The sequence below is a fragment of the Homo sapiens genome, chromosome 11, assembly GCF_000001405.40.
Source record: "Homo sapiens chromosome 11, GRCh38.p14 Primary Assembly".
Lineage (NCBI taxonomy): Eukaryota > Metazoa > Chordata > Mammalia > Primates > Hominidae > Homo > Homo sapiens.
Genome location: NC_000011.10, coordinates 44,092,286 through 44,113,816, shown reverse-complemented (window position 1 = coordinate 44,113,816; position 21,531 = coordinate 44,092,286). Strand labels below are relative to the sequence as shown.

Here is a 21,531-nt window from a genome sequence, read left to right as displayed (position 1 = left end):
CATGGGAAGACTGGTTGGGGAAGTCATTTACCAACCACTGGCTAGAATCTCAGAACACAATGGTCCTGGAAAGCAGTGGTGGCCAGAAAGTATCACATTTCACATCGCTTACACCCCAGCCTCTCTCCAATCCCTGCCTCAAGCAGTTCTTTCCACCATCATCTCAGAGTTACATGTCAATCATGTAGCCTCCACCGGCTCTCACTGTCCATTCCAGCTACTTAGTCTTATTAACCCAATTCCCTATACAGGAAGCAGAACCTAGAATTAAACCCTCAGTGCTTCTCTTGCAGTTTGCTTGTACTAGCCGTTACTCTCCTTAATTAGAAAACAGTGACCACATTGTTTTAACTGGATCCAGCAAGTAGTACAATGACACTTCATCAGAGAAAGGAAGCAGGTGTATATCACACCAACTTTTACTGTTATTCTCTCCCAGGACCCCAAACCCATCGAAATCACTTTCTAGGGCAACACACACTACAAAGTCTGAGCCAAGATGTCTCAACTGAGAAACCACATTTTTTGCAATATTGATTGCTACCAATCCCCTCCCTGCCCTGATGACAACCTACATTCCCTTCTAACATGACCAGTTTAGGTTCAAAGATTTTCAAACCACCCCTGGAAATCCCACTCTGTTTGTTTAAGCTTTATGAAACCAAGAACTGGTGAGTGAGGTAACCTGCAGGCTAAAAACTTCTCCAGCTGCCGGTCTACTCTGTAAAATGTAATAACTATCCTTAGTACCAACATACGGTCTTATTTTTCCTGATTATCATGCAGCACTGAAACCATCCAACATGAACTTGGGCAGGTTCCATGACCATGATGGCAAGCAGACTCTATGGGCCCCATGGCCTATGTGCAGAGAAGCAGACATGGATGCAATATTCAGGCACCAGGCAGTCCAGGTAAGCCAGGGTCGTGGGTGATTAGGCTATTACACTCACAGCCCCAGAGGAGAAGTGGGTGTGTATGTGCAGAGAAAGGAAGCAGTTGTATATCACATCAACCTTTACTGTTATTCTGTCCCCGGGGCCCCAAACTTGTTATTCTGTTCCAGGGGGGTTAAGGTGAATGTTCAGCACTGGCAGTAGGAAAGCAGCAATCAGAAGCATGCCTTACGCTGAAGATCATCCACATGCAGTCTGTTTGTCATCTCAAAAAGAGCCACGACTGCAATTAGTCAAACTGGCCTCATGCCAGCCCTGCTACTGGCATGCACTCTAAGGCACTGTATCTTCTTCTGCCAAGGTCTCCATTACATTATAATGGAGAAAATATTGTAAGCATCCCTTGCTTTACAGAACACATGGTTTACATTGACTGAAAAGTGAATTTCTGAACAGCACATTCTGTTTTCCCATTATGTATCCCCAAATCAGAGATTAGTTCCAAAGCTGCAAGAGACTGAAAAGAAAACCTGCAGCTAAAGAAGTATTAATATGATGATCTGACTCAGGTCAGGCCAAGTATTATAATCACTGGAGGCGCTCTCCAGCATTTTTAGCACTTTGCAGGGCTGCCTGATTCTGGGACGTCTCCTCTGACACTGAGCCTTCCTCTCCACGGCCTTGTATTCTCCACCCTCCCTAACCCAGTGTTCTGCATGTTTTCTCACAGTTCTCCTCCTGCTATCTAAGTATTCGCAGTGCCTAAACACAGTGAGGCTGCAAGTTTGTCCTTTGCTTTCCTTTAAACCATGCATGGAATCAGGCCTGCAAATTCCTCAAATATAAAGCTTCAGGTTTTGCACAAAACAAAACCCAAAAAAGCAGACCGATTCTATCGGTCATCCTTATTTGTTCACTGAGTCAAACAAACTGTAAAACAATATTTGTGAGACAGGTAAACATGAGCAAAGGCTAGATATTTAGTGACTATTTGGTGATATGGAAAAATTATTGTTAATTTTCTTAGGTATGATAATAGTATTATAGTTAGTTACATTTTTTGAAAAGGCTGTATCATGCAGAGATTCACACAATATTTACAGATGCAAGGATCTGATGTCTGGCATTTGTTTCTAGATAATCTAGCGGAGGTGGAGGTAGATGAGAGTAAGGATGAAACAAGACGGGCCTCAAGATAATGATCGAAGCTGGACAGAGGATATGTGGTGTTCACTGTACTAGTCTCGCTTCTTTATATAGGTGTGAAATTTTCCATAACAAGTTTAAGTAAATAAATAAACACCCACATAAAAGTAGAAATGTGTGAGAGATATTTGCAAAGAAAGGATAAGAAATCCAAGGTAGTAACGGTATTACAGAACACATCTGAGAAAACTAACATCAGTTAAGTCATTAAAAGATGTATAAGTCATGAAATATGCTCCTACTCAAGTTAAAATAAAATTGGTTTGTATGTGTGCTTGTGTCTAAATCCATAGAAAAAAGACTAGAAAAACACATCATATTTTAATATAAGTATCTTTCAGGAAGGGAGTGAAAACAGAGGAGGGAATCAAAGCAGGTTTTTACGTTTTACTCTTTATACACTTGCATGCTGTTCGACCCTTGCACAAAGTATATATGTATCATGTGTATGGATTTTTTTTTAATTGAAAGAGAAATAAAAACATTTAAGCAGCATTAAAAAAAATTCACTGAGCAGACATTTCCCTTCAGTCCAGGTCCTTGTACTGTATTTCCTTAAGTAAAATAATTTTTAAGTAATCACACCTATGCTTTTGAACTTTAGGAGATCTTAAAGCAGTCTAATCTAGCCCATCTGTTTTCTAATTTCCAAACAATCTGACATGCAGCTCCTGTAAAACCATTCTGCATTCACAGTTCTTGCCTCCTTTGAATCCAGGAGCAAGGATGAAGGATAAGAAAAATTAACAAACAAATCTACTATTCCTTACCCCAACAAGAAGGCCACCTAAGTTTCAAAATGAAATTTCCCACATGCAAAGATAAAGGACTAGATGGTGATTCATTACCTGCTATAGGATTGGCTATAATCACTTACAAAAATACATGCATAGGAAAAACTATTTAACCTTCCTGATCCTAACACCTAAACACTGGCATGTACTCACACTTTCTCCTGTCTACTTGACACCTTCCTGCAGACAAATGAAATCGCATTTAACATGTGCACTTGATAAAAATAAAATCCAACTCCCATGCAGATGCATATACCAAAATGTCAGCAAAAAGTGAAATGACCCAAACAGAAAGAAGCCCTTCTGAAAAAAAATCCAGAACTGGAGATGGAGACTCTGCATTCCTAACAGCTCTTTTCCTTCCCTTCTCTGTTCTCCAAAGTTATTTCACTTCCCCAGAACAACCAAATCCATAAAACAGTAGCCCACTCAGGAACAGGCACACCTTCTCTGGGGCTGAGAGCCAAATCCGGAATTACCCTGTGTTCAGCCACTTCCTACAGCATTTGTGCACCCGGACTGCCCTCTATCGTCCAAAACGGTCTCTACACCAAAGCTGAAGGGTGGTCCTGGAGTGTTTGTCTTGTGTAGTTATAATTATATTTCCAGACAGAAACTCAAAACTGACTTTAGATAATCACTTAATGCAAAGAAGGTTTAGATTTAATCTTCTGGGGAAAAGGAATACTAAGTGTCGATTTTCATAAATGATAATGTTAGCCTCTAACAAGTTGAGAACTAGCCTCAGGCTGTTCTCAGGCTAATACCTCAGGCTGTTACCTTTTCAGTTAACAATGAGTTTAAGAGTTAAACACCAACTGTAATAAGACTGGTGATAAACAAGTTTAGGTGAACTGTTAACAATTCTATACCTTGAGCATTGCCCGCGACGCTTATATATTGCGCCCCAACTTTCTACTTTCCTCAAAGCCTTGAACCCAGCACTAAGAGAGGTCCCTTAAGTAGCACCTCATACCAGAGCTTTCCAAGAAAGCTCATACCAAAATCTTTCAGTCAGTGATGAAAGGGCAGATAAATACAGTGAGTGAACTCAAAGTCACTCTCAGGCAGTCATGGCCACCCCATACCACATCTGCCTATTTGGAAGGTTTTTCTGGAAGGAACGAAAGGCAAGAGGGGCGAATAATGAAGGCAGGCAGGCAGGGAGGGAGGGAGGAACGGACAGAAAGAACCCTACTGATTGAAACAACAGAAAGTAAATGAGAATCAGCGTGCCCCCATTACCCTCTACATTATAGGCTTTGGGTATCGCTTTTACATATCCACGCTACCTTCTCTCAGTAAGCTGTGCATCTACTTGTGGCAAATGCTCCCGAATTCAGAGAGAGCTAGCACAAGCCTGTCACACTTTTGGGGGCTGGATGTGTTACACTCAGAAGTGCACAATCCAGAGTGGGAAAACAGTTTTAGAGGCTATGCCAGGACATAAGCCCTAACTGGTTTTCCATAAAAGATTTAAGCACTTCTAAATCTTCAGGAGGAAAATACTTATGACAATTTTCTAGTTTAATAAACAATTCTGATTACAAAGTATGTGGTAGATTTAGGAATATAATTTCACATGAACAAAATGATCTTGAACCCATCATAAGGACAGCCCCAAATATGCCTCCTACCTGTCTCTGGGGACATCCAGGGCTGTGTTATAATCTGGGGGACCTCCAGGCAACATGTTGAACAACAGGTGATTCGTACCTCGATCCCACCTGTCAAGAAATTTAAAATGTAGGAGAATTAATGTGTCAACTATGAAAAGACAAGAGTCAGTTACTAGACAACAACTATCAAGGATCCCCAAGCCCAAATAGGGCCGCTTCTCAGGTATGCAAAGCAAACTCCTGGAAATCCCAACAGCACATCAGACACAAGTCTGGCTCCATGACAGGGAAAAATGAACGCACGTGTACTTCAAGCTTGTCCCATACAGACCTGCTTCTAATAATGAAAAGTTGAAAACTACCCAAATGTTCACCATTTGGTTAAAGAAACACAAAATACATTAGAGAAGCCTGGTTAAATATATGGTAGAACATCTGCAAAATGGAATACTATGCAACCCTTAAAGTTATATAGTAAAAGAACATAAAATTATGTCATAATTTGGAAATATATTCATGATATATTAAGGGAAAAAGCAAAAGAGTATGTACTGTGTGATCCCATTTGGAACAAAACATTTATATACAGATGTGTATGTGTATTTTTAGTAACATCAAAATATTAATAATGTTTATCTCTTAGAGGAAGGATTTCAGAATGAATCTTAGATTCTTCTTTTTGCTTACCTGTATTTTCAGATTTCTTACAGTGAATGTGTATTATGTAAGTGCTACGAGGAGGTGGTAGCATATTTAGATTTAAAAGGAAGAATAAATGAAGAAGAGCCACGCTTAGTTTGGAAACTCTAAGAGGCTGGGAACCCACAGCAGTAGTGCCGGAGATGGCAGACTACTCTTCACGGGCACACAGGCAGATGCTGCCACACAGGCCTCATGCTGCAAGTCAGTCCCTCCAACACACCCCGTCCTGCAAGAAGACAGCATCGGGAAACCAACTCAAGAGCAGAAGCATTCCCATCCTTCCCTTCCCTTTAGTTCCCTGAGGGCCACTCAAGTATCTCCTGGGGGCTGGGCTGTATGAGTGTGAGATACCTAGAGAGCTGGGCCATCGCTTGTGCTGTCTCCTTGATGCGCAGTGTGTTCTGGTTAAGCACATCGATGGAGGGAACAAACAGACAGGCCCGGTTGATGTCATCAGTGTAGTAGTCACTGTCTGAGATGGCCATGAGCAGTTCATTATACTCCCGGGAGATGGTGTTGCTGACAGAGACGCCAAAGTCATCCACGTACTTTTTCAGAGCATAGATATACACCTTGATTTTGTTCTTTGGGTTGAAGCCACAGCGATAGACATCAAAACACGTGTGCATTCTGCAACTGAGATCCCCCCGCTCTGGGATGGGACTGTCGGCTGGCAGCCTAACAACCGGCACATCACGGATGCTGCGCTTCTCTACATTCCAGTCATTTGAGGACTCGATAGAATGGGGCCAAAACTGAAACATGCCAGTGGCAATGAGGCCCAGGAGGACAATGGAGAAGAGGGTGATATAGTAGATTCGGTGCTTGGTCTTCATTCTTGGGATGAGGGCAGGACCCCGGATATTATACTTGACCGACGCACACATAATGACACAGACAGCCTCTTCCTCACACTCCTGGTCACCAGGGAGAGAAATAAGAAAAACCAAGTATTTAGGATGGCAAATGACACTTGAAAAGACTATTCAACCTTTTTTTTTGTTTTGTTTTGTTTTGAGACAGGGTTTCACTCTGTCACTCAGGCTGGAGTGCAGTGGTGCAATCTCAGCTCACTGCAACCTTCACCTCCCCAGGCTCAAGCAATCCTCCCACTTTGGCCTCCCAAGTAACTGTGACCACCACGCCCAGCTAATTTTTTGCATTTTTAGTAGAGAAGGAGTCTTGCCATGTTGCCCAGGCTGGTCTTGAACTCCTGAGCTCAATCTATCAGCCTGCCTCGGCCTCCCAAAATGCTAGGATCATAGGCATAAGCCACCGCGCCCAGCCTCTACTTTTAATGTACCTATTTCTTTCCCTTAAGTGGTGTGGTGAAATAACAAAAAGGGACTTTGGACACTTCTTATAAACATTTAGAAATATATATCTAGATATATGAATAAATAGTATATAATGTATTTAATATTTAATACTGCATATATTTAACATAAATATTAATTCATAATATAAAATATTACTATACCCTATCAATATACATTTACTTAAAGCAGAAGCTGGCAAATGTGGGACTCTGGGAAGGAGGGCTCTGACCAAGGCAGAAAAATCAAAAGTGGAATAGCAAAAGACAGTTATTTTATTTCAAAACACTTGCTTAACATAAAATAATGATTTAACTGGACAAACTGAAGCTTCATCATTCCAAAATCTGTTTTCAGCCATGTGCGGTGGCTCACGTCTATAATCCCAGCACCTTGGGAGGCCAAGATGGGTGGATCACCTGAGGTCAGGAATTCAAGACCAGCATGGCCAACATGGCAAAACCCGTCTCTACTAAAAATACAAAAATTAGCCAGGTGTGGTGGCATGCACCTGTAATCCCAGCTAGTTGGGAGGCTGAGGCAGGAGAATTGCTTGAATCCAGGAGGTGGAGGTTGCGGTGAGCCGAGATCGTGCCACTGCACTCCAGCCCAAGTGACAGAGCAAGACTCTGTGTCATAAAAAAAAAAATCTGTTTTCGTTCACTTATTCATTCAAACCATTATTGAGCACCCATCATGTACTGTGAAGAAAACAAAGATGAAAGCAAAGACCCTACTCTAATGAGGGAGAGAAAACAAAGCTATAACAAAAGGCAGAATGTAAAAACACCACTAGGAAAGTATCGATTAAGTACAAAAGGATATCAATAAGAAAAAAAATTAATCTTTCATCTTCAAATAAAACATATAGTGATGATTTATAATGAAGGTGATAGTTGCATTTAGATAAATGGAAGAAATGAAGAAAGGAATGGGGTAGGAGAGACAAAGGGAGGGAGGAAAAGGAAGAGAAAGAGAGAGAAGGGAGAAAGGGAGGAAAAGGGCCAATGTGGTAGATTCATTTACAAAGACGAACACCAACAGTTCTTTCCATCCCTGAATTTGCATGGTACTTCTCCAAACAAAATGTAGAATCCATGTCCCTTCCCCATGAATCTAGGCTAGCTTTATGATTTGCTTTGACCAAGAAAATGTGGCTGAAGTGATGTTTTGGGATTTTTGAGCACAAGACTTGAGAGGCCCTATAGAGTCTGCCTTTGCACTCTTCGAATCCAGCCGCCATGCTCTAAGGAAGCTGAGCTCCCAGTGGAAGGCAACCTGCCCCAGTGGACACGGAGATCTCAGTCAAAACCATTAGGGAAGAGATGAGCCATCCCCACCAAGCTCTGCATAGATTCCACAATCATCAGCAAATAAATGACTGTTGTTGTTTAAAGCTTCTAAGTTTTGGGGTGGTTTGTTATACAGCTATAGATATATAAAACAGCCAATAAGCATTATTGACTGAGATGTAAAGAAAATTTGTAGTCCTCAGCTAAAAATGTAGAGTTCCCATGTAGACCACATTTTAAGATCCTTACCAAACAAGCCTCTCCTATATGATTCCCGGATACTGTTTCGGGGGAGGGCAGAGCCTTGAGTGTGGCTGCATCATCTGCCACATACTTACCATGTTACTGCAACAAGCTATTTTGGCATCCTGCATGTCAAAATACCAATCCACAAAAAGACAGCTGGGCACAGTGGCTCATGCCTATAATCCCAGCACTTTGGGAGGCCAAGGCAGACAGATCACCTGAGATCAGGAGTTCAAGACCAGCCTAGCCAACATGGTGAAACCCTGTCTCTACTAAAAATACAAAAATTAGCCAGGCATGATGGCAGACACCTGTAATCCCAGCTACTTGGGAGGCTGAGGCAAGACAGTCACTTAAACCTGGGAGGCGGAGGTGCAGTGAACCAAGATTGTGCCACTGCACTCCAGCCTGGGCAATAGAGCACGACTCTTTCTCAAAAAATAAAATAAAATAAAAATAAATAAACAAAATGGTATCATTCTACTCACGGATCTTCCAGGAAAGCTATTAATATAATGGGAAGTAACTGAAAAGCTCATAGACCATCTTAGAGTTATCAACCATTTTTGCTTCGGATAAATGGAGCTCTCCCCATCAGTGCCCACATGGTAAACTGCTTCCTGCCTAGCGAGCTGAGTATTGCCAAGCTTGAATGTTGCAATCACTTTCAGTTTTGGGGGTAAAATATGCTAAATGGTCATGAATCATTTCAAGTCATATCTCTCTAAGACCAGAAACTGGAACATAACAAGGAATTTGCCTATCATTGACTAATACATGAAAATTCATACATTTTGAGCTTAAAAGATTATCATCTTTGGAGTATATACATCAGTCACTCAATATATTCTAATTGTTCTATGACAGAAATGTGGCATGACAGCGATTTCACTTTTTCTATCATTCTAACAGTAAGCAGAATATTCCTGCCTGCTCCCATCCCCTACCAGCTGCAGGCCCACCCTATGGTATGGCTTCCTTGCCATTCTGCATATCCCTCCTGGAGTTTGAAGACAGGAAGTTTTGGGACAAATGCAGGCAAGGAGCTGCCCTCCGCTGGCCCATGTTAGAACTTCCCAAGAAGCTCTCAAGGTCTATGTGTATACTTGAATCAGTGGTTCCCCAACACCTGAAGGGTAAGAAGCACAAGAGTTTGTTAAAACAGATTCCTTGGCCCCACCACTGGAGGCTGTTATCAGTAAGTTTAAAATAGGGCCACAGAATATGTCATTTAAAAACAAGCTCCTCAAGTATTTTGTGCCATCTGGTTTTAAACCTTTATTAATATTAGACAAACTACCCTTTAATAGTGTTTTTCAAAACTTTTTTTAAACTAAAATTGACAGTAAGAAATATATGTTATATTGTGACCCAATATAGACAGATATATATATGTGTGTATATGGATATTTTAAATAAAGCTTCAAAAAACAACATTTAAGCTATGTACTGTGAGTACACAGTGTTAGCCACAGAACACGCAATGAACCCTCCATTTTTCTACTCTGTTATTCTATTGCTTTTTAAAAAATTCTGGCCATAACCTACTAGATCAATTATACCACCCAATAATGGGTCCTCCATAGCTTGAAAAATAGCTTCTATGTATGACAAAATTGAGGTTAAGGGAACAAAAACTGTATTCACACATGAGCTTCACAAATCTTTATGAGTTGCAGATTAACTATAAAAAAGACATATCACAACAAAGTAAAACCAAAGATAACAGAAGAAAATAATAAATAAAAGCACAGAGATTAATTAAAAAACAAAATAGAAATGGTCAACAAGGCTAAAAGTTGTTTGTTTAAAAACAGACTAATAAAATTCTGGTAAGATTAATCAAGAATTCAAGGAAAAAGGTGCAAATAAATACCTGAAAAGGGGAACATAACTCTAAATGCTGCATATATTTAAAAGATAAGATGGTATCAATGAATTTATGCCAGTACATTTGAAAACTCAGATAACATGGAAAAATTATTTTAAAATATACTTACCAAAAGCATCTCAAGGAGAAACAGCAACTCTGAGTAGCTCTATAACATTAAAGACACTGAATCAAAAGTTTAAAAATCTTCCTATAAAGAAAATTCCAGGCCCAGAAAATTTTCCAAGTTCTACCAAATATTCAAGAAATAATAATTCCAATTTTCCACAAATTATTCCAGAGTTCAGAAAAAAAAGAGGAAACACTTCAAAGCTCAGTTTAGGAGGCTAGCAAATGCTTCATACCAAAATCTTAGAACACTGGTTCTTGAAGTATGCTTCAGGCATCCCAGGCCCTTTCAAAGGGCTTATACTAGTTTAATACTGACATTTGCTTTATTCACTTCCATTTTCCAGAGGCTACATGACATATGACACTGCAACAGACTGAATGTAGAAGCCGATGGGATAATCCAACTGTGTTTTTTTAAGTTTTTCCAAAAATGATAAAATACATCAATTCACAGACTCAAGATGCTCAACTCAGAACAGAACATATATATATATAAAGAAAATGCTACCTAGATATATCAAAGCCAAACTGCTAAAAAGAAAGTTAAAGAAGAATATTAAAAGCAGCCAAAGGGGAGAAAAATCTATTCAAGGTATATCTTAAAACTAAATGTAAAAGGAAAAACTATAAAATATTTAGAACACAATAGAGAATATCAATGACATCTGGCAGAGAATGATTTCCAAAACACAAAAACCAGAAACCATTAAGAATTTTCCATCAAAAACACAATAAGGAAGTAAAAAGACAAGCTGCAAGCCTGAAGAATATATTTCCAGCACATATAAGCAACAGGGACTTGCAACCAGAATAAACTGTACGAAGCAATAAGAAAAAAACAAACAAAAAGAAAACAAAACAAACAAAAAACAGAAAACACACTTAAACAGGAATTTCACAGAAAAGGCAAAAAAGGCACATAAACATATAAAAAGATGTTTAGTCTCCTTAATGGTCATGGAAAGTAAGACCACAATGAGACCTATACCCAACAGCATAGGCAAATTAAGAGTCAAACACCACCAAGTATTGTTGGAGAAGATACGGAACCACAGGAACTGACTCCAGAGTCCCAAGTGGCCTCAGCAGAAGGAAGAGGGAGCTGACACTCACTATGTTAGTCTTAAGTATCATATTTTGCTTGCTACCTGTCATAGTTTGACTCCCCTCATACCCCCGACCCCGTGCAAAAAAAAAAAAAAAAAAAAAGAGAGAGACAGAGACAAAGACAGGAGTGCAAGTAGTCTACTTACTTGGGAGGTGATCTCAGAAAGCCACAGTGAGGGAGCAAGGAGACAGGCAACAGGGCAAAGCCAATAAAAAGTGTGTTCTTAGGCTGGTTACTGCAGTGGGCAACAGGGGCTCCTAAGGCTACCAGGAGCCTTCTGAAGACTCATTTAGAATACAGCTGGTCTCTAAGCAGGATGGGAGACTAGAGCATCTGTCTGCAACACCTATCCACTATTGGTTGAGGGTTGCCTGGTACTGTTATCAGCCCGAACCCTATATTCAACAGCCCTATAAAGGTCTAAATATTATACTTTCTTTGCTGTACAGCTATTCTGATAAAGATCTGCAGTTCCCTTGAGGAAGGATGGGAGAATGTCTGCCTATACGTGCAGGAATGTTGCAAGATCTTTCCCGAAAGAGATCCAGCCTCCCCTTCAATCCATGGGATATGGGTCTAAGAAATGGCTCATGTCTGAACACAAGGGGAGAGATAGTGATTTTTCTCCATTGTAGCAGCTGACATCAATCTTCCACGTGCCAGCTCTTAATTTTTTTTTTTTTTTTTTTTTACTGATTATACAAGTCAAGCAGCACCATGGTTAGCTGCCCAGCTTAGAAACACCATGTTCTATTCGCATCAGAGTGGGTCAAGATTCCCCAGTTGTGAGTCCAGCCTTGCTGCCCATTCTGGGCACTATGTCTACCTTGTCTCTGATGATTAACTGCCACCAACTGGCCTCCACTATCTCAGAATCCTATCATCCTCATTGATACTTGGGAACCTAGTTTCACAGTAACATCTCCTAAGGTCAATCTTGTCCTACAGAAGACAGCCAACACTGAGCTTCTCAAAGATGCAGGTCCCCTCACTGGGCATTCCACATTAGCAGAGTGAAAGGAATAGGCCCTCCCAGGAAAACAGGCAGGAGGTGCAGGTGATTCCTTCCTCAATACTCTGCCAAAATAGTTCTGATGCCTCCACCGCATTTATTGCAGTCCAAAGTGACTTAACCTTAGCACTATGACATTTTAGGCCAGATAACTCTTTTTTGTGGGGAGCTATTCTGTACATTGGAGGTGGCTGAATAGCATCCCTACTCAGTAGAAGCCAGAAGCAACCTCCAGCTGTAACAACTAAAAATATATCCAGACATTGCCAAATATCCCTTGGGGAGGCAAAATCAGCCCTGGTTGCAAACCACTGGTATGGGTCGTTGTGTCCAAGCTTCAAGGAGCCTGCCCAGCCGCATACCAAGACTGGCTCCAGCTGTCCTTGCTAGGTCACCAAATCCTGAATCATGAGAGAATGCTCACCTGTCAACAGGTTCTCTCCTCTCCAGCTTTATAGTCCACCAATACCCCCACCTTTGGTCCAACACCCTTAAGATTCTCCCCACCCCACCCCCAACCCACTGTGTTTCCTCAGTTTCTGCTGGTCCATATTAGCCAGGTCCTGCAACTCCTTAAGAACTGCTTTCCTGCTCAGGCAATGCTGAGATCTGAGGGGAGTGGAAGGCAGATCTTGAGGAGCACAAGAATCATATGGGAGGCATCTGCCTCAAGTGAGAGCTCTGCACAGTGTCCAGGCAAGAAGAAACTGCTGTCCTCTGCATCAGAGAGGTGCATACCTCTACTGGCCCAAGGGATCTGAGGAAATCTGGGAATTCAAAGTTCTCGGTGCCTCCACCCAAATATCTCCATCCAGGTCTCAGGGTCTCACATCTTGCTACCATTGCCCTGACTTTAGCAGAGGCAACCTGTCAAGGCTGTGCATTCAGCTTCCTTTGCAATTCTGCCACATGTATAATTAAATTCTGGGCCCGACCTTCAACAGAGCCCACCCTCCAGCTGCAGGAGATGCGGCCATAGAGCCTTCTGTCTTTCACAATGAACCCTGAGTTCATGTCTGGCTGATCTGGGCATGGCATTCTCTTACCCCAAGGCTTCTAAGGAAAATAACAAGAGCCAGTCAACTCCACTCTCCTTATCATTACCATTGTCCATACACTGCTCAAGTGCTAGAGCTACCATACTAGCCAATGCTTTTCCTTCCACCTGAGTCTCATCCTAAACCACTCGTGGTGACAGTCTTACTACAACTGTGATGTTAGAGAGTACCAGGGGTTACCAACACCTCAATTAATACTAGCAAAGAGGTCCTTGTTGCCAACTGAGGGTGAGTGATTCCATTTTCACAATACTATCTCACAGCCTGCTTTCTAGAGCCACTTCTAGTACCAACGACCTTGGTTTGTGCTCTGCCAAACTAAGAGAAAACAACTTGGGTGCAAGTAGCTTGCAAAAGGTGAATCCAGAAAGCCAGAGTGTGGAAGTAAGGAGAGGAGTCAGAAGGGTGCACACTTGAGCTGCTTACCAGACTGAGCTAGGCCACAATACCCAGTCCTTCTAGGATCCCTCTGGAGAAGCACGGAGAACACACTTCAGAGCTGTCCCTTTGGAGGGAAGCCACATCATTCAACAACCAAAGCCCACCCCGCACTGGCTGAGGGATGCCCTCAGACACGTAAACTCCTCCATGCTTGTGAAGTGTGTCGACACAAGCTAAGCGAACTCCCACACATCTGTATCAAACTCTGAGGAATAAAAGCAAGCACTTGAGGTGGAATAAACAATAGAAGAAATGAGAGGGAAAGAATGAGAAAAGAAAGGGGAAAAGCCCCTTACTAAGCAGTGCTTTACAGAGAGAGGATCTTCCCTGTGAGCACCCACATCACCTTTCATACACTGCATTCTAGCACTTGCCACATTTTATGAATTGGTTAAGTATTTGCAAGTCTGTCTCCTCTACTGGTTGTGATTTTTCCTGTAATCAGTTGTTCATCTCTGCTCAGTATTCCTAGCATCTAATACCAAATCCAGAGCATATATTTAAGCCAGACGCAGTGGCTCACACCTGTAATCCCAGCACTTTGGGAGGCTGAGGCGGAAGAATCACTTGAGTTCAGCAGTTTGAGACCAGCCTGGGCAACATAGCGAGACCCTGTCTCTACTAAAAAATATAAAAATTAAGCCAGGCACAGTGGCTCACACCTGTAATCCCAGCACTTTGGGAGGTGGAGGCGGGCGAATCACAAGATCAGGAGATCGAGACCATCCTGGCTAACACAGTGAAACCCCATCTCTACTAAAAACACAAAAAATTAGCCAGGCATGGTGGTGGGTGCCTGTAGTCCCAGCTACTCAGGAGGCTGAGGCAGGAGAATGGCATGAACCTGGGAGGCGGAGCTTGCAGTGAACCGAGATCGCGCCACTGCAGTCTAGCCTGGATGAAAGTGCGAGACTCCGTCTCAAAAACGAACAAACAAACAAAAAAAAACCCAAAAATTAGCCAGGTGTGGTGGTGCACGACTACACTCCCAGCTACTTGGGAGGCTGAGGTGGGAGGGTTTCTTGAACCCGGGAGGTTGAGGCTGCAGTGAGCCATGACTGCGTCACTGTACTCCAGTCTGGGCGACAATGGAGACCCTGTCTCCAAGGAGAAAAAAGAAAATAGAACATATTTAATATAAACATAAATATTTGTTGAACGAACAAATGTCTGTATCCTTCCCAGTTCCATAGGTGCACACGGTTTAGCATCCAAGTTTTGAGTTATTATATGTGACGGCCTCTGACTATTATCTTTCCTAAATAGGAAGGAATTTCCAAAGGAGGAGGGGGAATGGCTAGATATTTCCATAGACTCTGAATTTTCTGTACCCACCCCTGAACACCCTCCTCTCCCACCACCCACCATATGCAAACACATCCAAAGAGCACCATTACTTTCCCCACCCCTGCTTTTTTTTTTTTTTTTTTGAGACAGAATCTCTCTCTGTTGCCCAGGCTGGAGTGCAGTGGTGTCATCTCGGCTCACTGCAACCTCTGCCTCCTGGGTTCAAGCGATTCTCGTGCCTCAGCCTCCCAAGTCACTGGGATTACAGGCGCCCACCACCATCCCCGGCTAATTTTTTGTATTTTTTAGTAGAGACGGAGTTTTGCCAAGTTGGCCAGGCTCGTCTTGAACTCCTGACCTCAGGTAATCCACCTACCTCAGCCTCCCAAAGTGCTGAGATTACAGGATTGAGCCACCGTGCCCAGGCTGCACCCCTGCCTTTATAAACCTGTGCTATACTGGACCCCTTTTGTAAAACTGCCAGCCTAGACTGAAGTGACAGTGCTCCCGACTCAGGACACTCCAACCTCACCCCTGTAACACACAGAACCAATCCTCCCAAAACAGTTTTCACATGCCAAAGCACAGAGAGATGGAGTATCTCCAAACCATCATCCGAGGAAACAAGTCATAATCTCTCTGTCCAGTGAGACTGCTCCCTACCACCAAGAAGTTAAAATCCCCGGAAGATGACAGACTGAAAGGAATCTTCTACTAATGAAGGTTTATTCCATACAATACCATAACCTGGATCAAAACAAGAATTTCAGCCCTACAAACTTTATCACCTTGAAACACATCAAACCTGCCCCTGCAAAACACTGGAATCATCTGGCTAGCTGTCAAGCACTGAGTCACTGGAAAAGTCTTTTAACCCCAACCTATTGTGAGGATGAGATGCATTTTCTGTTCCTGGAATTATTTATTCCTAAAATTTGCCTGAATAATCTTTCCTTGGTGCTTCAGGTTATAGCCAATCCACTTAGTCCAATGTTTTCAGTCACAGTCTCTTGTCGTTTCAACCTTTTTATTTTTATTTTATTTATTTATTTATTTATTTATTTATTTATTTATTTTTTGAGATGGAGTCTTGCTCTGTCACTCAGGCTGGAGTGCAGTGGCACAATCTCAACTCACTACAACCTCAGCCTCCCAAGTAGCTGGGATTACAAGCGTGTGCTACCACACCCAGCTAATTTTTTTGTATTTTTAGTAGAGACAAGTTTTCATCATGTTGGCCAGCTGGTCTTGAACTCCTGGCCTCAAGTGATCCACCCACCTCGGCCTCCCAAAGTGTTGGGATTACAGGCGTGAGCCACCGCGCCTGGCCTCTTCTTAACCTTTTTAGAAAGGGCCTTACAGCTGAACTCCTGGGGCCACTGCCACACTGGATCTTAACCCAACCATTCCGAAAAACAGAGGAACCAAATATAAGCAAAAGCAAAAAAAGCCACAATTCATTGCCTTACTTGATAGGATTCTTTATAATTAAAGTTATGTTATGGCTAAATGCCCCTAAAAATTATTTTCAATTAAAAACAATGCCCTTTTAATCATGGGAATTATACCATAAGACAATGTGTGTCATTACATAATTAATATGTAAATCTTACTAAGCACTTACTACATGCCAGGGTCTGTTTTAAGCACTTTATAGTGTTAACTTATTTAATCTTCATAACAGCACTATAAGCCAAGCTATTATTACCCTCATTTTACAGATGGGGATAGTACAACAGAAAGTTTAAGTACCTGGCCCAATATTACACAACTGGAAATGCCAAAGCTAGGATTCACAGCATGGCAGTCTGGCCCCAAAACTGATTATCCATTCATACCCTCACATGCAACCAGGAAGTCGGGGAAAGTGAATGATGGAAACTGAATCATCTATTTTATTACAGTGAATAGCCTTTGAGTTCTGAAAGTTACAAACTAAGTCCAGTTAAAGTACATAGAGCACTTACCTGACTTACAAGAAGTTAAGACTTACAAGAATTTAAATGTACATATTTCAAGACCATATCTTCACATAAATAAGTCAAGAACCTTTCTAGATTAGCATTGCCCAATCAGTAACACCAAGCAATTCTTTGATTCTCAAAATTGTGTGTTTAGATCTGGTTCCCACCGAATGTAACAAAGCCCCAAACACCTCTGGACTTCAAGTTGAAGCCCAGAGCCAGTGTGCTTCTGGCCACCTAGTCCCGAGACTAACATGCCCCTGGCCCCGGCCCGACACACCCCCGGGCCACCTAGTCCCTGGCCTAACATGCCACCAGCAATCTAGTCCGCAGTCTAACATACTCCTGCCCCGTCCTGACAGGCCCCCGGCCACCCAGTCCCCTGCCTAACACGCCCCCAGCCACCTAGTGCCTGGCCCAACATGACCCCGGCCACCCAGTCCCCGGCCTAACACGCCCCCGGCCATCTAGTTCCCGGTCACCCAGTCCCCGGCCTAACACGCCCCCGACCACCCAGTCCCCGGCATAACATGCCCCTGGCCCCTTCCCTACCTCGTCCCACGGCTTCTGGCACCGCAAGGGATGCCGCAGGCCACCACCGGACCCTGAGGCGCAGGACATCCCCCTGGGAGGAATCAGATCCCTGTGGCTGGCGGGAAGGTGGCAGCAGGAAGGGAGGGGTCACGGCGGAGGGCGGAGGGCGGGTCGCAGGAGGAAAGGAAGGAGCGGACTGGGGGCGAAGGTTGGCTAGGAGAACAGGTGGGTACCAAGATGCTGAAAGCGCGGCCGCCGCCGGAGGAGAAGGAGAAGCAGGAGTGGAAATCGGAGCGCTCCAAAAGCGGGCAGTCATTGTCACAGCCCCGGCGGGGCTGGGGGTGGCCTCTCGCAGCCCACGGGCCTCCACGGAGCCTCCGCGCGGCCGCGCTCCCTCGGCCCTTGTCCCGACCCAGCAGCGGCCCCCGGAGGCCCGAGCCCTCGCTTCAGCGCCCGCCCGGCCGCCGCCCTGGAGAGCCGCGCTTACCTCGGCCACGGCTGCCTCCCGCTCGGCCCCGAGCTTGGTCACCGGCTCATGCCGCGGGGCGCGGGCCACCTCCGCCCAGGTCGGATCGGTCCGAATCGCCAGCCGCCACTGCCAGGGCCGAGTCTGGGCTGGCGAGCAGCGAGCGAGGGGCCGGTAACCGGGATCCGGGCCGTCTGACACCGAGCGCACTGCGCATGCGGGAGCTGCCGGGCCGCGCCTCCTGCTGGACAGGAGGAGTCCGAGCACCGCTGCAGTGTTTTCCCAGGCAGGCGCGCTCAGGCTCCGCAGTGAAATGCTCAGACAGCCTCATTCATAATTAAAGAATCCTTAAACCCAAACGAGACACCACGCGTTGCTTATAAAACTAACAAATATGTAGACGTTTTATTATAATCAGTTCTGGTGAGCGTATAACATTCCTGGAGGGCAATTTGGTACTATCCATCAAACGGAAAATGCTGGTACCCTTCATTCCAACAAGCTCTCTGTACGGAGTTTGCCCTATGGATATTCTCAACAATGTTTGTCAAAAAGTTCCATGACAGCATTCTTTCTAATCATAGCGAAATGCTAGACACAATCGAAATAAATTATGGAATTTGATTGATTTGAGTAATGTGAGATAGTGCAATATATTTGGGTAAGGAAATATCTCCAAGATATTAGTTAAGATCAAAGCGTAGTCCAAAACAGCGGGCAAGTCACTTTTAGGTAAACTATGCATATGCAAAAACAAGAGGGAGAAATATATAAAGTAGGTGCTTATATTCAGGCATGTGTATAACTTTTTTCTGGAAGGAATGCAAGAAGAAATGAACAGCTTCAGGTGGAGTAGTTGTCGAGGCGGAAATGGAAGCATTTATGGCGAGGAAAGGTGGCTCACGCCTGTAATTCCAGCATTTGGGGAGGCCTAAACGAGAGGATCGCTTGAGCCCAAGAGTTTGAGACCAGCCTGGGCAGCAGAGCAAGACCCCATCTCTACAAAAAATAAAAAGTTAACTAGGCATCGTAGCACACGCTTGTAGTCCCAACTACTTAGGAGGCAGAGGCAGGAAGATTGCTTGAGCCCAGGAGGTCAAGGCTGCAGTGGGCCGTGGTCGTGCCACTGCACTCCAGCCTGGGTGATAGAGCAAGACCCTGTCTCCAAAAAAAAAAAAAAAAAACGCATTTTTGTTTTGTATCTTTCTCTATTATTTACATGATTTAGCCCTATCCATGCACACTAAAACCGCTGTCATAAAGCAGTAAGTGGAAACTAAAAAATTAAATTAAAATTCAGAGCGATGTTATTGAGAGGTTAATGAAATGACCCCTGGGCCTGCGATGTTGGTTTGGTAGAGTTGTGGGTCTGGCTACAGGATCCAAATCCCTTCTGGTCCCAGATGTACTTTGGCGCCATCTGGTGGAAGTTGTCACTGATAGCTTAAATATTCAAAGTGATGATTCTGAGACTAGATACCTACAGAGGCTTCCGGCAGCAACCTCGATTCCAGGGATATTTTTGTGAGTTAATGCCTGCTTGTCACAGATCTAGGGAGATTGGGATGAGGACATTCTGGGGATGGGACACTCATGTTCTGCTTCCCCACATCCAAGGGGGCATTGCTCTGCTTTCCAAATCAAATCCCCCCTGCAAATGATACAAAATGTAGCACACACCCACCCCATTTGAGAACTGGATGGGTGGAGAGCAGTGACAATCACCACTGGAACTGTATCCAAATTTATCTTATCCCAGGGAATATTGTTTTCACTTTTTGAAATAAGTCAACAATAGCTATCTGGTCTGGAAGATTGTGGCCTCTTTTTTTCTTCTCCATATTTATCTGTATTTTAAACATGTATGTTTTTAATTAATCCTTTGTTCTTTTATAAAATGAGAATTTGCCGTGTTAAAGAACTGTGTGAGGCACAGCCTCACACAATGCTGCCTATCTTCTTCATTTTTTATAACCTTAAACTTGCCTAATGCCTGGCATATAGTTAATTGCTCAATAAATAGTTGTTGAATGGAGAAAGGATGCCTAGACACTGGGAGGAGCTAACTAGAAATAAGACAATAAGATTATTCAAAGGAGAAGGTAAAAAGTGGCATAGAAGCATATAAACAAAATGCTACAGAATTCAAAAAAAAAAAAGAGGTGACATCCAGTTGGAAAAATCTAGGAAGAGTTCAATCAACAGTTGATATCTTTGTTTATCCTGGAGGACACTTAGTATTTTGACAAGCAGAGAGGTGAAAAGGGCATTCAAGGCAGAGAAAGAAAGTCATGAGCATGTGTTAAAGAAGGAAAAGCAGCTGGGCAGAATGGCTCACATCTGTAACCCCAGCACTTTGGGAGGCCGAGGCAGGAGGATCACTTGAGACCACAAGTTCAATACCAGCCTAGGCAAAAAAGTGAGACCCCCATCTCTGCAAAAAAAAAGAGTAATAAATAAAAATAAAGAAGGAAAAGCAATCAGAAAGAGCAAGTGTTTTTCAATCCAGTGTGGCTACATTTCTAGGCATAGAAACCATGCAAGTGAGGGAGGTGGGAAAATATAGAAGATGTGAAATTAGAAGCTACATGATGCGAAAGTATCCAAGGATGACTTCAGGGAGGAGTGGGAAATAAATTATAAGCCAGGACCTGAAGTTTCTGAGAAGGCAGAAAAGCGTCTTAGTAGCTGGTGGTTGAAGGAGGAGAGGTTGTAGAAAGATACTGCTTTACTGAATTTGAAGTTACAGGGCAAAGCAAAGATTACACAGATACCCCCTTACCCAGTGAGTCAGGAAATATGAAAGTCAGGATTAGAAAGGGAATGGCTTTCGTGGAAAATAGTGTCATCAGGGGAAAGTGAGTTTCCAATTAGGAGAAAGAGCTGGTGTAGGGTTGAATCCCATATTTAGCACTTCCTCTAAATACAGTTGATTCTTGAACAACACAGGTTTAAACTTTGCAGATCCACTGCTGTGCAGATTTTTTTTCAACAAAAGTTACACCAAGTGTGCCTGCCTCTCCAGCTTCTCTTTCCACCTCTGCTACCTATTCTGCCTCTGCCACTCCTGAGACAGTGAGACCAACCCCCCTTCCTTCTCCTCCTTGGCCTACACAACATGAAGATGAGGAGGATGAAGATCGTTATGACTTCCACTTAATGAATAGTAAATATATTTTTCTTCCTCCTGACTTTCTTAATAACATTTTCTTTTCTCTTGCTTACTTTATTGTAAGAATACAGTATTTAATATATATAACATATAAAATATGTTTAATAGACTATTTACATTATCAGTAAGGTGTCCAGTCAACAGAAGGCTATTAGTAGTTAAGTTTTGGGGGAGTCAAAAGTTATACATCATTTTTCAACTGCTTAGGGGATTGGCACCCCAACCCCCACATTATTCAAGAGTCTACTGTAACAGAGATATCCAAGAATGGAAAAAGGCATATTCTCTAAAGAAAAGGGCTCCATAATATAATTGATCTGTGGGACCTTAGGTTGGCTCAGCTTAAAACAGCACTGGCAGGCAGCATGGTAGGCTAAAAAACACCTAACCAGGTGAAATATAAGGAATACCTTCTC

At 43.1% G+C, this 21,531-nt stretch overlaps 1 protein-coding gene across 9 annotated transcripts in view, besides 4 other annotated features; it reads right to left on the bottom strand.

Annotated features, from left to right (window-relative positions):
• Positions 1-18,139, bottom strand: part of EXT2 (exostosin glycosyltransferase 2) — a 156,285-nt gene extending 138,146 nt beyond the window's left edge. For 2 of the 9 annotated variants that reach the window (NM_001178083.3, NM_207122.2), the window contains exons 1-3: positions 17,965-18,139; positions 5,569-6,134; positions 4,534-4,623 (exon numbers count right to left, since the gene is read on the bottom strand). In NM_001178083.3, the coding sequence (NP_001171554.1) occupies positions 4,534-4,623; positions 5,569-6,104 (626 nt within the window). In that variant the 5' untranslated portion in view covers positions 6,105-6,134; positions 17,965-18,139. Of the gene's footprint in view, positions 1-4,533; positions 4,624-5,568; positions 6,135-7,044; positions 7,065-9,033; positions 9,370-10,071; positions 10,111-17,495; positions 17,621-17,964 lie in introns of those variants that run through there. The other 7 variants (XM_047426529.1, NM_001389630.1, XM_011519950.2 and 4 more) reach the window with 7 other exon arrangements.
• Positions 321-370: an enhancer, noted in NCBI's record as "active region_4652". NCBI's record gives its function as "activates an Ori minimal core promoter by ATAC-STARR-seq in GM12878 lymphoblastoid cells {active_cell/tissue: GM12878}" and the evidence as "EXISTENCE:reporter gene assay evidence [ECO:0000049][PMID:35858748]".
• Positions 3,291-3,370: an enhancer, noted in NCBI's record as "active region_4651". NCBI's record gives its function as "activates an Ori minimal core promoter by ATAC-STARR-seq in GM12878 lymphoblastoid cells {active_cell/tissue: GM12878}" and the evidence as "EXISTENCE:reporter gene assay evidence [ECO:0000049][PMID:35858748]".
• Positions 17,183-17,232: an enhancer, noted in NCBI's record as "active region_4650". NCBI's record gives its function as "activates an Ori minimal core promoter by ATAC-STARR-seq in GM12878 lymphoblastoid cells {active_cell/tissue: GM12878}" and the evidence as "EXISTENCE:reporter gene assay evidence [ECO:0000049][PMID:35858748]".
• Positions 17,653-18,272: a silencer, noted in NCBI's record as "silent region_3272". NCBI's record gives its function as "represses an Ori minimal core promoter by ATAC-STARR-seq in GM12878 lymphoblastoid cells {active_cell/tissue: GM12878}" and the evidence as "EXISTENCE:reporter gene assay evidence [ECO:0000049][PMID:35858748]".